The 15,259-nt window shown below is 41.6% G+C and overlaps 2 protein-coding genes across 8 annotated transcripts in view, besides 2 other annotated features; both read right to left on the reverse strand.

Annotated features, from left to right (window-relative positions):
* The window catches only part of MPP4 (MAGUK p55 scaffold protein 4), a 53,771-nt gene extending 42,873 nt beyond the window's left edge, over window positions 1–10,898 (reverse strand). For both annotated transcript variants that reach the window (NM_001438024.1, NM_033066.3), the window contains exons 1-4: window positions 10,841–10,898; window positions 6,130–6,308; window positions 5,162–5,283; window positions 2,456–2,533 (exon numbers count right to left, since the gene is read on the reverse strand). In NM_001438024.1, the coding sequence (NP_001424953.1) occupies window positions 2,456–2,533; window positions 5,162–5,283; window positions 6,130–6,208 (279 nt within the window). In that variant the 5' untranslated portion in view covers window positions 6,209–6,308; window positions 10,841–10,898. The remainder of the gene's footprint in view (window positions 1–2,455; window positions 2,534–5,161; window positions 5,284–6,129; window positions 6,309–10,840) is intronic.
* Window positions 11,528–12,029: an enhancer, noted in NCBI's record as "OCT4-NANOG-H3K4me1 hESC enhancer chr2:202563997-202564498 (GRCh37/hg19 assembly coordinates)". NCBI's record gives its function as "activates a minimal SCP1, AML or CMV promoter by ChIP-STARR-seq in primed H9 embryonic stem cells {active_cell/tissue: H9 hESC(primed)}" and the evidence as "EXISTENCE:reporter gene assay evidence [ECO:0000049][PMID:30033119]".
* Window positions 12,030–12,529: an enhancer, noted in NCBI's record as "OCT4-NANOG-H3K4me1 hESC enhancer chr2:202564499-202564998 (GRCh37/hg19 assembly coordinates)". NCBI's record gives its function as "activates a minimal SCP1, AML or CMV promoter by ChIP-STARR-seq in primed H9 embryonic stem cells {active_cell/tissue: H9 hESC(primed)}" and the evidence as "EXISTENCE:reporter gene assay evidence [ECO:0000049][PMID:30033119]".
* The window catches only part of ALS2 (alsin Rho guanine nucleotide exchange factor ALS2), an 80,667-nt gene continuing 77,928 nt past the window's right edge, over window positions 12,521–15,259 (reverse strand). For all 6 annotated transcript variants that reach the window (NM_001410975.1, NM_020919.4, XM_006712654.4 and 3 more), the window contains one exon: window positions 12,521–14,143. In NM_001410975.1, the coding sequence (NP_001397904.1) occupies window positions 14,105–14,143 (39 nt within the window). In that variant the 3' untranslated portion in view covers window positions 12,521–14,104. The remainder of the gene's footprint in view (window positions 14,144–15,259) is intronic.

The following is a 15,259-nucleotide window of genomic DNA, read 5'->3' on the forward strand; positions in this document are numbered from 1 at the left end:
GTATGAGTTTCTCTAGGAACGTACCTGGGGAACTCAAAGAGCTTAATCCCATGGGATGCTCCATTCTTCAAATAGAAAATGGAAATCATAATTTCTCTTTTAGAGTATCAGTTGATTAGCAATTTTAATGCTTGTTACAATAAAAAGTGCTAAGCGGAAAAAAATTCTGCTCTCTCTGCTGTGGTTTAGGCGTAGACCTGCTTTCAGAGGACATAAGACCTTTCAAGACTTTAGTCAGCCCCATTACCTACAGTCAAATGAAAACAAGCAGTTTACAAAGGTTTACCTCCATTCACTGGGATTTCAACTGAATAAAATATTATATATGTGCTTTTCCTGTGGACAACTGAGAACAATTTGAATTGTTGATTACTGGAATTGAGAGCAGAAGTTTTTTCTTTCTTTTTTGCTGTTTCTTTTAATATGGGATGGGCAATAAATAATAAAATGGATTATATTTATTCATTCATTCGACAAATATTTATTGAACACTACTGTGTGCTAGGAACTGTTTTAGGTGATGCAAAAACAGCAGTGGCTGACAAAAATCTCCATTCTCATGGAGTTTACATTCTAGGGAGGAGACACAGACAACAAATGAAATGTGTAAGTAAAATAGTTTTGTTTGATGGTGACAAGTGTTAAGAAGAAAAATAAACCAGGGAAGCTGGCTAGGAAGTGCTAGGAGGGAATACAATTTTAGATAGGTGACCAGGAAAAGCCTCACTGAGAAGGTGGCATTTGAGTGGAGACTGGAAGGAGATGAGGGACAGATCAGGTATATATCTGGGCAAGAGCATTGCTGACATAAGGAATGGCGAGTGCAAAGGGCCCCAGGCAGAAGCATGCCTGATGATTTGTTTTTTGGGTTTGTTTGTTTGTTTTTTGAGATAGTCTCACTCTGTCACCCAGGTTGGAGTGCAGTGGTGTGATCTCGGCTCACTGCAACCTCTACTTCCTGGGTTCAAGCAATTTTCGTGCCTCCCAAGTAGCTGGGATTACAGGCATGCACCACAACGCCCAGCTAATTTTTGTTGTTGTTGTATTTTTAGTGGAGATGGGGTTTCGCTATGTTGGCCAGGCTGGTCTTGAACTCCTGGGCTCAAGTGATCAGCCTGCCTCAGGCTCCCAAAGTGCTGGGATTATAGCCATGAGCTACTGCACCCAGCCTGATGAATTTAAACAATAACAAGGGGTCAATGTGGCTGGAACAGAGTGAATGGAGAAAGCATTGAGTGTGAAGTCAAAGAGGTAACAGCAGCTTGATTGTGTTCAGCTATGTAAGAACTTTGGTGTTTAGGCCAGGTGTGGTGGCTCACACCTGTAATCCCAGCACTTTGGGAGGCCAAGGTGGGCAGATAGCTTAGTGTCAGGAGTTTGAGACCAGCCTGGCCAAAATGGTGAAACCCCGTCTCTACCCAAAATACAGAAATTAGCCAGGTGTAGTGGGTTCCTGTTGTCCTAGCAACTCAGGAGGCTGAGGCACGAGAATTGCTTGAACCCAGGAGGCAGAGGTTGCAGTGAGCAGAGATCATGCCACTGCACTGTAGTCTGGGTGAAAGACCAGGACTCTGTATCAAAAACAAAAAAGCAAAACAAAAAAAGAGCTTTGGTGTTTACTCTGAGATGGGAAGTCATTTGAAGGGTTTGAGTGTTAGTGAGGAAGTGACATGATTTGACTTGCTTTCAAAGAGGGTATTTTTGGTTGCCGTGTTGAGAGTAGACTGTAGAGGAGCAAGAGTGGACACAGGAGACCAGATAGGAGGCAATTTTGCAACTATCTATGTAAGAGATGATGATGATGGTATGGGGTGGTGAGATCCTGGATATATTTTGGTGAGATCCTGGATATATTTTGAAAGTAGAGCTGAGAGGATTTGCTATCTGATTGGGTGTGAGGTATCAGAAAAAGAGAGTCGAAATGACCCCTAAGATTCTGGCCTGAGCACTGCAAGAACACAGGTATCGTTTCTGAGATAGAAAAGGCTTCCAGAAGAGTGGGTGGGGGTGATCGGCAGGTGGGGAAGATCGGGAGCTCAGTTTGGAACATGTGAACTTGGAGGAGTCCGTTAGACATCCAAGTGAGATGGAGAGGAGGCGGTTGGATATTTGAGACTGGAATTTAGGGAAATCTCCAGGCTAGAGATATAAATCCGAGAATTATTACTATAACATTACCCTGTTTATGAAGGGCAAATGGAGTACGAGACTTAGGAAAAAAGAAAGAAATGAACACACGCTAAAAATGACGTGGGTGGTGGTGGGGAGTGTTTTAATTTGGGGAGATACCCAGCCAATGTTCTTCCTTATATTAAAGTTCAATTAGAAACATTTATTAGATGCATAGTCATCAATAAAACTTTTCCTTAGAACCTTTAATTCATTTGAACTAGCAATGTGGGGAAAATGGCACCACATCAGAGCTCTACTATCCTGTGGAATAAAATCTCCTTACCTCATAGGATAACACCTGTGCATGTGGTGTGGCAGGAACTAGTTTCTTTTCTTTAAATTCCTGGAGGCAGTCATAAATCTGCAGAAGGACAAGGGAGGGAGAATTGATATTGATAATATGACTATTGCCATTTTGGATTTAAGACTCTCAAAGAGAAGAAACACCCCAGGCAACTGCACCAATGGCTGCACAGCACGGTGTGGTTGGTGTTTAGTAAGTTGTGTCTCTAGTTGCCAAAGAGAAATGAACTTGAGTTTGGTGGCCCCGATGCTTCAAAAGCTTAATTATTGGCTGCCATTGGGAAATTGATCTTCTCCAAGCATTTCAGTAATAAAAAGAAATTCAAACTTTTAATCTTGTTAAACAGAGTGAGGGTAGGGTGTCTGGGACTGAAACCAATGGGGATTTGTAGATGATGCATAAAGGAGCGTCTTAAAGGAGGGGCCCTTTAGGACCAGACACCTGTGAGGACCCCTGTGTTGGGCGCCTGTGCAGCATGTGAGCTGTGTGGCTCAGGGCCACTGAAGGTTCTGAATAAGTGGTGGGCATGCCACAAACGCTTCTCTGTACTCTGCTTTGTGCTTTGGGGCTGTTTCCCATTCCTCTCCTAATTCTCTAGTACAAGTTCATTTTTTAAAATTCCAACTTCATCTCCACATACCCTTGGGAATTTTTTTCCATACCAAGATCTAGGTTTGGGCTGAGGACACCAAAGCCTGCCTAGCTCTGCAATGCACCCCTTGATCTTATTTTAGGAATTGAGTTTCTCTTACAGACGAAGAAATAAGGCCCAAGGGGCCGGCTGAGCCCCCAGTCTTTTCTATCCAGATTAGTGATGATGCTGCTTCCCTGCTCTATCCCAGGGCCCGCATTCAGGTTTACCTGGAAGTGATGAAGGCTGATTGGATAACTCACCAAGGGCCTAGCAGTGGTGAGCAAAGGCAATGCCCATCATGAAATTAAAACTCCTATCTTAGCTGATCCTGTGGGAAAATGCCTGATAGAAATCAGGTGTTTTATAACAGGTGCTATGAGGAGTACTTCATTCATGCCAAAGATGTTGCCACTTTTATTGTATAATATTAACATGCACTATAAGACAGACCACATTTCACACTTAAGTGAAGGAAATACCCACATCCCAAAAAATAACTTCAAAAGGATCTCTCTTAATAATAACACTTGTTCAGAACAACAAAATTATAGTAGTGGCATCTACTAGATAGTAGATGCTATTTTTCTACTATCTATTAGACGCTATTGTATAGTGCATGGAATTTTAGCCAAATTAAAAAAGAATAAACTTTATTTATTCTATTTTATTTATTTATTTTGAGATGGAGTCTCTCTCTGTCACACAGGCTGGAGTGCAGTGGCTCAATCTTGGCTCACTACAACCTCTGCCTCCCAGGTTTAAGCAATTCTCGTGCCTCAGCCTCCAGAGTAGCTGAGATTACAGGTGCGTGCCACTGCATATGGCTAATTTTTTGTATTTTTAGTAGAGACAGGGTTTTGCCATGTTGGCCAGGCTGGTCTCAACCTCCTGACCTCAGGTGATCCACCAGCCTCGGCCTCCCAAAATGTTGGGATTACAGGCATGAACCATCACACTGGGCCAGAAGAAACTTTAGAATAAGAAACTTCAGGGTACCTAAACAGAACTGTAGATATTTTACTTTCTAACTTTAACAAACAAATAGGAATAACTTTTTAAAGCACTTTTATTTATCCAGGGTTGCTGCAAGGACAAACGGTTGTAGCCAGCTGATAAAGTGTTGCCAATGACCATCGTGGTGGCTGTTTTGTGATTCCAGGGGGCCTCTGGAAGAAAAAGAGCTGTGGGGAGAAAAGGAAGGGACTACCATATTCTCCTCCACCTAAGTTAATTCCTTCCTAAGCGAAGAAGTTTGTGTAGCTCTTCTCTGAGAGTTGCCTTCTAAGAACTTTTTCCAAGTTGAAATTTCCTACCAGTTGATAAATGACACCATTGGGTAAGTAGTTGCTATGATCTGAATGTGTACTTCCAAAATGCATATGTGATGATATTAAAAGGTAAGGCTAGCTGGGTGTGGTGGCTCATGCCTGTAATCCCAGCACTTTGGGAAGCTGAGCCGGACGGATCACCTGAGGTCAGGAGTTTGAGACCAGCCTGGCCAACATGGTGAAACCCCATCTCTATTAAAACTACAAAAATGAGCCAAGTGTGGTGGTGGGTGCCTGTAATCCCAGCTACTCAGGAGGCTGAGGCAGGAGAATCGCTTGAAGCTGGGAGGCGGAGGTTGCAGTGAGTTGAGATCAGGCCAGCGCATTCCAGCCTGGGCAACAGAGTGAGACTCTGTCTCAAAAAAAAAAAAAAAAAATAGGTAAGGTCTTTGGGAGCCGATAGGTCATCAGGGCTCTGCCCTCATGAATATGGAATTAATGCCCTTATACAAGAGACCCCAAGAGAGCTGGCTAGCCCCTTCCATTATGTGAGGACATAGCAAGAAGTTACCATTTAGGAACCAGAGAGGGAGCCCTCAAAAGACACTGAATCTGCTGCCGACTGGATTTTGGACTTCCTGGCCTACAGAACTGTGAGATATCAATTTCTGTTGTTTATAAACTATTCCACTATCCAGCCTGAATGGACTGAAGCTGTCATTTTCTACACACTCCCCACAACCCCTTCAGCAAGCAAAGGCTTCCGAGCAAAGAAGCACTCACCTTTAGCAGAGCCTGAAGCCACGGCGAGTGGAGGAGATCGTACAAGAGACACACTCCATTCACATCTCTGCCGTAGAACAGACTCAGCTCTTGCAGCACAAGCCTCAGGATCTGGGAGAGGCCTAGGAAAGGAAGAGAGCAGAGATGGGGTGGCAGGTGCGGGTGTAAATGTGAAAGGCAACTCAGATAGCTGGGGCATGCCATGGGGTCTCACCAGGAGTGGAAATGACACTGGATCTCAGGCCAAAAGATCTGACTTCAAGCCCTGTTCCACCTCTTACTTTGTGAACGTCACAAAGTCACATAGCTATCCGAAACCCAGTTTCTTTGCCCAAGATGAGAAGGTGCTAGCTTTGTCATAGTGTTGTTCTTAACACTGAGTAAAATAATAGATCGTGATGTGCAGATGTAAGATGTCATGAAAGGAAAATGATTGCTTTCCCCTCCCCCATCTTACCAGCCTGTCGTTTATCCCAAAATTATCTACTTGTGTTCTGTATCCTCTTTCTCTAACTCAAACATAAGAGTCATTTCATCCTCTCAAAAAATTCTTATTGAGAGTGATATTGAAAAATTCTAACTCCCAATAGATTTAATGCAAAGCTCAGTATTCTCCTGATTAAAGGGTCTCTAAACAGATTTTAGTGAATATTCTATTTTTTGACAGTATTTTCACAGTGTTGTAGTGATATTCTGAATGTGAACAACTTAAGAAGTTCTAAGTTTTACATAAAACATTGTCAGGTAAGGGAAAAAAAGGTTTTGAATCCATCATGTCCATTTATTTCCTTCCTGGCTTGAAATTTGTTCTTAAAGTTATCACTGGTAGGGCAGTAGTGCAACCAAAAATGTACAAGATCCTCATAGGGATCACAGTAAGTCTGTCAGGATTTCTGCCTATTCATTTGATCACATGTCAGAGGTGATATTACTTTCTGGTCTAGAAAAGGAGTCCTGGTGACACATACCATTCTGTGGATTGGTGGCTGTAGAAAGCTTCATGTCCTTCTTGTCTGGTGGATCTGCTCCTTTGTCTGACTGTATCATCCTCCCTGCCGGAGCTTCTGAAAGGAATTCAGGACTAGGAAGCGGGTCAATACACGGCACACAGCTCACTCAGTCCCACTGGCCACCAGCTCTCAGCACACTGGAATATATTTTCAATAGCATTTCCTCAGCAAGCCAGGCCCTGTGCTACACACTGGGATACACATCAAATGAAACACAGTCTTCCCCTGTGGTGCCTACTCTTAACCATCACCAGTGGCGTGAAAGAGAAAACGACTATTGCATAAAATGCTCCCCCTAACTCCATGTTTTAAACACATTTTTTAGCCTTTCAGAAGAATTGATTTCCTAGAAACCACACCTACCCACTTTTTAGAAGTAAATGACAAATACTATATTTATTTATCTTCCACCTCTTTACCCAGTTGACTTTACCCATCATTAGAGCTCAGAAAAGTCTTGCGTGGACCAGCTCCACTCAGGTGCCCCATTTCCTCTCATTGCACCTTATAGTTCTTCATAGAAGAACTAGCTGGTCTGGTCACAGTTGCAAGAATTATGGGTTATTACTGAGGCACACTCTTGGAATTTAGAGACAACACTGTAACGATCTGTTGTTTTGTTTTGTTTCTAGAGTGCTTTCCTGGCTCAATCCTACAATTTGTATAGAGTCTGGACAGTTTTCTTTTTCCCTTTTTTTTTTTTTTTTTTTTTTTTTGAGACAGGGTCTCACTCTGTTGCTTAGGCTGAAGTGTGGTGGCATGATCATGGCTCATGATCATGCACCCTCGACCTCTTAGGTTCAAATCATCCTGCTACCTCAGCCTCTTGAGTATCTGGGACCATAGGCATGTGCCACCACACTCGGCTAATTTTTAACTTCTTGTAGAGATGGGGTCTCACTATGTTGCCCAGGCTGGTCTCCAACTTCTGGGCAATCTTCCCACCTTGGCTTCTCTAAGCACTGGGATAATAGGTGTGAGCCATCGCACCTGGCCTAGACAGTTTTCTTAACCCTATCAGATTTAATACCAGTCTTTGAAAACTAGTTTGAAATGCTTATTTTAATGTTTATTTTTGGTATTGCTTTAGGTAGATTTAGTTTCAAGAAGTAGAAACCCAGAATAATTTTGGCTTAGCAGAGTAGTTTATATCTTGTTCGTGTGAAAGTTCAGAGACAGAGAGAATCCAGGGCTAATAGGGCAGCCTTGCTCCACGAAGTCCTCAGGGAATAGGTTCCTTCCGGCTACTGCTCTGTCACCCTAGGGTGTAGCATGGTTCTGTCTACCTGCTCCAAGATGGCAGCTGCAGCTCCAGTCATCACGCCTACATTTCGGCCAACAGGGTAGGGGAGGAAGGGATTAAGAAAACACGGGCAAAGAAAATATGCCTACTGCTCTTTAAGCAAAGTTTTCCACAAGTTGCCCTACACAGTGAAGAATCGCCTCATGCCCTGTATAGCTTTCAAATGTCCCACTGAACTATCATGTCACTGAAAAACAATAAAACCTGTAGTTATCTGAATCCAGACGCCAACTTTTCTTTACATATAAACACAAGACACTTTTGCACTGGTTTAATATACAATGGGGAGTAGGGTATTGAGGCAGGGAAGGTGAAAAAGCCAGTAATAGGTTGTCATCAAGAAGTAACCACTGTAGGCAACTAGAGCTTAATCCCACGGGGGAACAGGGGCCAAGGGAGTGAGAGTATTTACACACCAATGGCAACATGAGGGTTTTTATACACCAATGGCAACCTTGGTATATAAATACCCTCACTCTCTTGGCCCCTGTTAGAGCCAACAGGTTAAGAGCTCTTCCCAGAGAGCATTATTTCTGACTCTTCCAGCATGCAACATGTATACCTTCGGATAGGAAGTGGAGGGGCTAGCAGCTGGAGTGGGCTCAGAGTGCACCAAAATGGTAACAACCAAGGGGTATGCGGTGGGGGTAGGGACCAACAACATTGTTATAGTAGGACAATAAAGAATACATTAAGGTTTTTGTTATAAAAGGAACACTTCAAATTAGTTGTTAAAGACTGGAGTATTGACTCTGATAGGGTTGAGAACCACTGTCTAGAATCTAGACTGATTGTGGGTTGAAGCCAGGAAGGCTATCTAAAAGAAGAAAAGATCATTATTATTTTGACTCTAAATTCTAAGGCAGTGAGAAGAGCAACACAGAAAGCTGTTACAGCATTTTAGACAACTTTCCCCTACACATTCCTTTCCAAACACCCTGAAGTCTTCCGGTTTGCTAGGTTCTACCAAAGCTTGACATCGTTATGCTTTTGACTTGCCCTCCATCACCTACCTTGCCCACTTGTAATTGAGTCAGATTAAACAATGCGTTTTCCTGTGTTCTGTGTTGTTTTTGACTCTATTGAATCATTTAGCATCACAGCTGCATATCTGACTCATCTTCCTCCCTGGAGGGGAGCACTTCCAGGGTAGAAAATTGAAAAGGGAGATGGAGTGCCTGCTAGAGAGCAGACAAAAGTCAGAGCAGACAGATGAGGCTGACACTCAGGCTGACTCTTAAAATTGGTTCCCCTCCAGCACCTCACAAATCACACGTCCTTGGCAAAGCAGTGCAGATTAAACAAGCCAACTGTTGTTTGCACGTCATGAGGTGGACCACATTTCTGCCATATTTAATGCCCGAATGACTGTGCTGAGCTAGGCCTACCCATTCAGCAGTTGGGGGCACACACTAGAGACTACATATTTCTGAGATGAATTTATTGTGAGGGAGCTTTACAGATAGACTGTGCTTCACAGATAGGCGGTGGTTTCTTGAGTGAATGCAATGGTTAAAATAGCTTCTAATAAATCTAGAGCCAACTTCAGGGCTACCTAGATAACTAATTCATACATTCTAAAAGGCTCGTTTTGACCCAAAGTTTCTCAGCCATAGAGGCAAAAACAATAATTACAGTAATCTACAACTTATGCAAATTCTAAAAACTGTGCTTGGCTCCTCATCTTCAGGTTCCTATGACAAATTTATGGTGGACTGAATGTTGTGTCCCCACCCCCAATTCAGATGTTGAAGCCCTAATCCCCATTGTTGATGGCATTTGAAGATGGGGCCTTTGGGAGGTAACTGGGTTAAGGTCATGAGGTAGAGGCCTCAAGATGTCATTAGCGTCTGGGTAAGAGCCATCAGAGTTCATGTGTTCTCTCTCTCCCTGCCAGATGATGGCACAGTGAAAACGCGGCCATCTGAAAGCCAGGAAGAGAACCCTCGCAAGAACCCAACCATGCTGGCATCCCAATCTTCAACTTCCAGCCTCCAGAACTGTATGAGAAAATACATTTCTGTTGTTTAAGCCACTGTCTATGGTACTTTGTTATGACAGCCAAAGCTAAGACAAAACTCATAGAAAAAAACTTCCAGAAAATGATTTTCCCTCCCTCCAGGTAGCTAAGAAAACAGTTGCAACTTCTTGCCCTCATAGCACTTCTCATTTTCCCAGTTCTTGTATCCACTGGCTTGCTCAGTGTCTGTCTCCCGCAGGTGTCATGTCTGCAGAGGGCCTGGGGAGCAGAGATGTTGCTTATCTTGTTCATGCTGCAGCTTCACCTGCAACAGTGCTTGGGCCATAGCAAGCACTTGGTATGTTCAGTTGTTGTTGGGAAGGGGTAGAACAAGGAGAGGCCAAGATCCAGAAGTAAAAGGCTGATACCTCCCTCAAGGCAGTAGCCAGCAGCTGGGACTTCAATCCTAATGGGGGAGGCAGCTGAACTCCAGAGGCCTGTGCCCTCCCTTCCTTTCCTCCCTGGCCTGGTATCCTGACTTAAACCTCTTTCCCTATCAAACTTTAAAACTGGGGGCAGAAGCGGATCTTAGAGATAATCAAATGCAAAACCTTTGTTTTACAGATAAGGAATCTGACATTCAAGGAGGTATTCAGTAGAGTTAACATGTAGTAAAATCGAGTTTTCCTCTTTTGTTTCCTTAGTCCTGAAAGATGCTGATGCCTGGCATGATGCCTGGCAAAAGACTTACCTTCCTTTCCATGACTTCTGTACCAAATTTGTCAGTTGAAGCTTATCTATTTCTGCTATCTTGAGAGTGAGAATTCTTGATTGAGACTGCAAATAAGTAAGCACCCACCACATGCAATTCCGGACTGAGTACACAGAAAGGATAGCCAGTTCTTGACTCAGAAGATGCATTAGTGTGACTGATGCCTAAGGAATTTGTCCTAAATCTTGTTTTAAAAGTATTTCCATTAGCTTTTTAAAACGTACTATTAAATGCCACAACCCCCTACCCTTACTATGCTTGTTTTTCAAAATAGTGCTTTTTACTAGACAAACCCTAAAAAAGCACTTGGAAACTTAATGATGAGAAATGGCCCTTACAAAAATAGCTGGCTTCCTCTGGGTCCAAATGCTGTTGATTAGGACCAGGGCAAATGCCCATTGTACTCAATCTTCCTGACAACTCATTATTCCATACTGAAGAAATGGCTTCTCGAAGCAAAACCTGCTCTTTCAAGATCATAAAATTCCCCATATCATTTGAGTTAAAATGAAACTAAGCCATTTGAGTTAGATTACCCAGATTTATATCTTTAGCTATTAAAAACTGACAGGCAAGCTAGGCAGTTATGGATACATCTTCTGGTAACTGAGGATTATTTGCCAAGGTCTCTTACCTGCAAGACTGTAAACATGCATGTTGCTCCTATCCAGACAAAAGCTTTAGTAGGATACTAGTGGCCTGTTAGCTGCCAAAGTCACCTCACTGCTCCCGATAAAATCTCTGCACATCCTCTTTGATGTAATCCACAGATGCCTAACCCAGCCTAACAACTAAATTACTCACAAGCCTTTCCTGCCACAAATCTTCTTAAGTATTCCTTGAAGTCTAATTTGTATCATTTTCAAACCTACATTCTAGTATTTTCTCTCAAATTGCCAACACATAGTTAACGGCAGAAAAACATAGTATTTTTGTTGATTAGTTCAAGATGACAGACATTCCACAACAGAAGATAGCATTTTTAATGAAAGAAAAAAATGTGGCAGGACCGGAAATAAGCCAATAACCTACTAACCTTATTAAATCTCTCATGTTATGGTGAGAAAACAACTGAAGACTGTTCAGCTAATAATAGAAACCCATCAAAAACAGTACCTTCTGGTCAATCCCCTCCCAAGCCACTGTTCTGAACCTAACAAATAGTGCTTTCTGTCTCAGATAGGAGCTACTTCTTTATCTGAAAACTTAATACTGCAGGGAGTGCTCAGTGGGGAGAGCATTTGGAAGGGGATATTGCAGAAAGGAGAGGAAGGTATTGCTGACAGCAAGGCAAAAGGTAGAGACCAAATGGCAATTATCAGAGGGTCCTCAGCCCTTCTACCCATATTAATCACATGGCTTTCCTTATCTCTCCATCATAGATGAAAACACAAGTTGGGAATGTGATACATTTGTGTTTTGAGTACAGCATATTTTGTGAAAAGCACTTGATTTCAATAAGATTTTCATTTTTAACTCACTTTTAAGAACTTTCAATACATAACCAGCTATGAAATGACATCTCTGGCAGCTGTAGTAGCAAAAAGCACTGGACTTCTAGGGAAGTAGGGAGTAGGGAAGTTCTAGGCTGGAGTCCCAGCTCTGGCAGTGAGCAAATCTTGGTCACTGCTTGTCTGAAAAATGGGGGGAAATGGGGATAACACCTGCATCCTTGGGCTGCTGTAAGCATTCATTACGCATGTGAATGACCATTGTAAACTGCTGCAGGAGTGCCAAGGACTTCTATTTACAAACATTGGCCTGGAGATTTAGGGTTTTTCTTCCAATACACTTCAAAATTTATAACTTTAATATGCTATCTGAAAAGCATATAGTAGGAAGAATCCAAAGTAACTGAACAGTTTCATTCAAGACTCCAGTAAAAGGACGAATTGTAACATGGCTTTTCTTAGAACAGAGACAGCCTATCATCATTGGAAATCTTCTCAATGGGTCAATTTGTCTCAAAGTTTTTGTTTGTCCATTTCCACATATTATCCACCCCCGCCCAGAGTCAGAAATTCTGTAAATTTGGCTTTACCAGGCAAATGTGGTTATTTATGTGTTTGTTCAGAAACTCAAAACAATCTCCAATGTAAATGCAAAGTATTTAACATAAACGGATTTTTAAGGGTTGGTCCCCTTCCAACAGAGGACAGGCACATTCTGGTAGAGGCAGCAACAAGATGGAAAGGCCTCTTGAGAAAACATTACAACTGGGAGATAATTAATATCTAACGTTTCTAAGCAGAATTTTAAAGCCTCACCTTCCCTTCCCTCGATCTGTTTAGGAGGAAAAAAAATAACGAGTAACTATCAAAATATGCTTTTTATTCAAAGAAATAATAGATTTCTTTGGAGACCCGTGTCCTTGGGTTATTGGGGTCAGAAAGTTAATTTGCTCTTTGCTAGAAAGGGTGCTATAACTATTGGTTTACGTTTATTTTAAAGACAGAGATTTCTAAAACCCCAGAGGGACTTTTGAGGCCAATACTTAGAGGCATGGATTACAATGTGGGCTAAAGAAATACTAAGTCTGGGTTTCCTTTCATCTTTTAGGCTGCCCTGTTCATTTCTTCTACAATCATAAAACAACCACATAAAGATGAATGCCTTTTATTATGAAAATTGCTGTTACATTACAGCCAACATTCCAAAACAGTATTTTAATAAACACTTGTCTTGATTATAAAGTAGAGCAAAAACCATGATCCTTTTTCAAAAGTAATTAACATCTTCTCAGTCACTTAACACAAATCAGGACACTCTGTATGCTCACCACGGTGTAGGAGATGAGATGAGGAAGAGCACCTATGTTATTCAAAACAGCTACTAGTGTTACTTATACAGTATAAACCAACAACTTACAATAGGGCATTTTTTAAAAAGCAAAACACTGAAATGTTGAGGTGCCACAATACTTTTGAGATGGAAAAAGCCAAAGCTTGTTTCCTTTTTCTTCCCATCCTGAGTTCAGTGTGAAGTATAGGGAAGAACAACACCAGGCTGGGGATCGATGCAGTTTTTTGCTTATTTCCCAGTTGTTAGTCCTGCTCGAAAACACAGCCTGCATGCAAAACTTCCTCAGGCTGCCATTCACAGGCCTTGGAATACAGCGTTTGCACATGGACAAATGAGGTTCCTAGCAGCTCAGAGTCGGTGTCTGAATTCCAGTGTATTCACTCTCTGTAGCATGATAAAGAAACCAAAAACAAAATTCCTATGTTCTTTTAAGTTAAGAGGCAGAAGACTCCTATTTGGATGCATTCCACATTTTGGGGACAGAATGTGGTAGTTTTGCACAGAACCTCTCCCATCAAGAAACAGCTTAGAAAAAGTTAAAACTGCAGTTTAAAAGTTCCTTTCTCCCCTCCCTTGGCAAAGAGACATGATGCACACATGACTGGAAGGGACTCAGGAAGGCAGAGTGTGGCCACTATAGTTTCAAGTACGATCTGGTTCTTGCAAACGGATCGGGGTAACTGCAGGTGGATTCAGGCAAACCAGAAATTCAAAAATATCCATCAACTTCTTTAATATAAGAAGCTCTACTGGAAGCTTTTCTTACAACTTCATGTAGCTGACATACCCTTTACTGTAGGAAGGGATATCCTCTTCTTTTTTCAAATAGTAGATAAATGGTATTTTTGGAACTTATCATAGGCCAAGAACTGGTCTAATCTGATTTTTTACCTCCCTTTCAATCCTCCCTTTAAACTATACAGTCCTTTTTTCTGGGCTCAGGGCTCTTATTATTGGTAAGGCTCATTCTAACAACCTAAATAACACAAAGTCCTTTCCAATTTCAACACTGTTCTTTTTTGCCACTACAGGAAGACTCCAGATGGTGTTATAACACTCTGTAGTAGATAATCCAGTTTTCAAGCTGTTATGCAGCCTAGTTAAGCTTCTCACGCTGAATCTGGTAGTAACATGCCTGGAAGAAAAGTTCAAAATAATTTCAAATTCACTTTTAAAGAAATTACATAAAGAGAGCAATGCATATGGGACTAAAGAAACAAAATCCCTTATGAACAAATTCAGCTGATGGCCCAACAGATTTAATTGATTTCACTTTTCCCTGTTCCCTTCTAGTTCCCCTATCTAGTGGCTGTCTTTTGCCTACTTGTAATTAGTATAGACAAAATTTTTTCATTTCCCGTCTTATTCTAAAACAAAGTTTTTTTACAAGCTAGCTAATATTCTTCACATGCAGAGACACCACAATTTGCCATTACTGATTGGACATTTAGAGTATACCAATCATTAAAAGGTACAACTCTAATTAGAATCACCTAGTATGATTAATAAATATACAGATTAAGCATCATTGCAGACCTGGGGAGTCATAACTTCCAAGAATGCATTTTTAAGAAGCACCCTGAATTATGAGTTTCCAGGTATGGGAATTACTCATACCCCAATGAATAACACATCCAGATAACATGTAACATTTTCCATTCTTTAGTTTCTTAGGATAAATCCCCAGGAGTAGAACCATTGAGTCAAACTCCACATTTTTTGATGTTGTTGATATCTATGTTAGTAACAATTGCTTTCCAAAAGGGTAATGGCTACTTACCCCATTATCAGCAATGTGGGAATAATAATGACTTCACTATAACCCCATCAGTAATTTTAAAATATTCTTGATAATTTAACAGCACAAAATGGTACCTTATTTAAATCTGCAGTACTACGATTTTCAGTGAGGTTGAGTATTTTTCTACATGTAAACTTACTAGTTCAGTTTCTTCTTTGGTGATCTGTTTAGAGATACTCTTCAAATAACATAAACACTAATAATCTAAGTCATCTGTGGCCAATATTTTCCCCAGTTTCTCCCCCTTTTCAGTTTATTTAATAGAAGTGTTAATGGTAGGCCAGGTGCAGTGGCTCACGCCTGTAATCCCAGCGTTTTGGGAGGCCAAGGCGGGTGGATCATCTGAGGTCAGGAGTTCGTGACCAGCCTGGCCAACCTGGTGAAACCCCATCTCTAATAAAAATACAAAAATTAGCCAGGTGTGGTGGCAGGCACTTGTAATCCCAACTA

The sequence above is a fragment of the Homo sapiens genome, chromosome 2 (assembly GCF_000001405.40).
Source record: "Homo sapiens chromosome 2, GRCh38.p14 Primary Assembly".
Classification (NCBI taxonomy): Eukaryota; Metazoa; Chordata; class Mammalia; order Primates; family Hominidae; genus Homo; species Homo sapiens.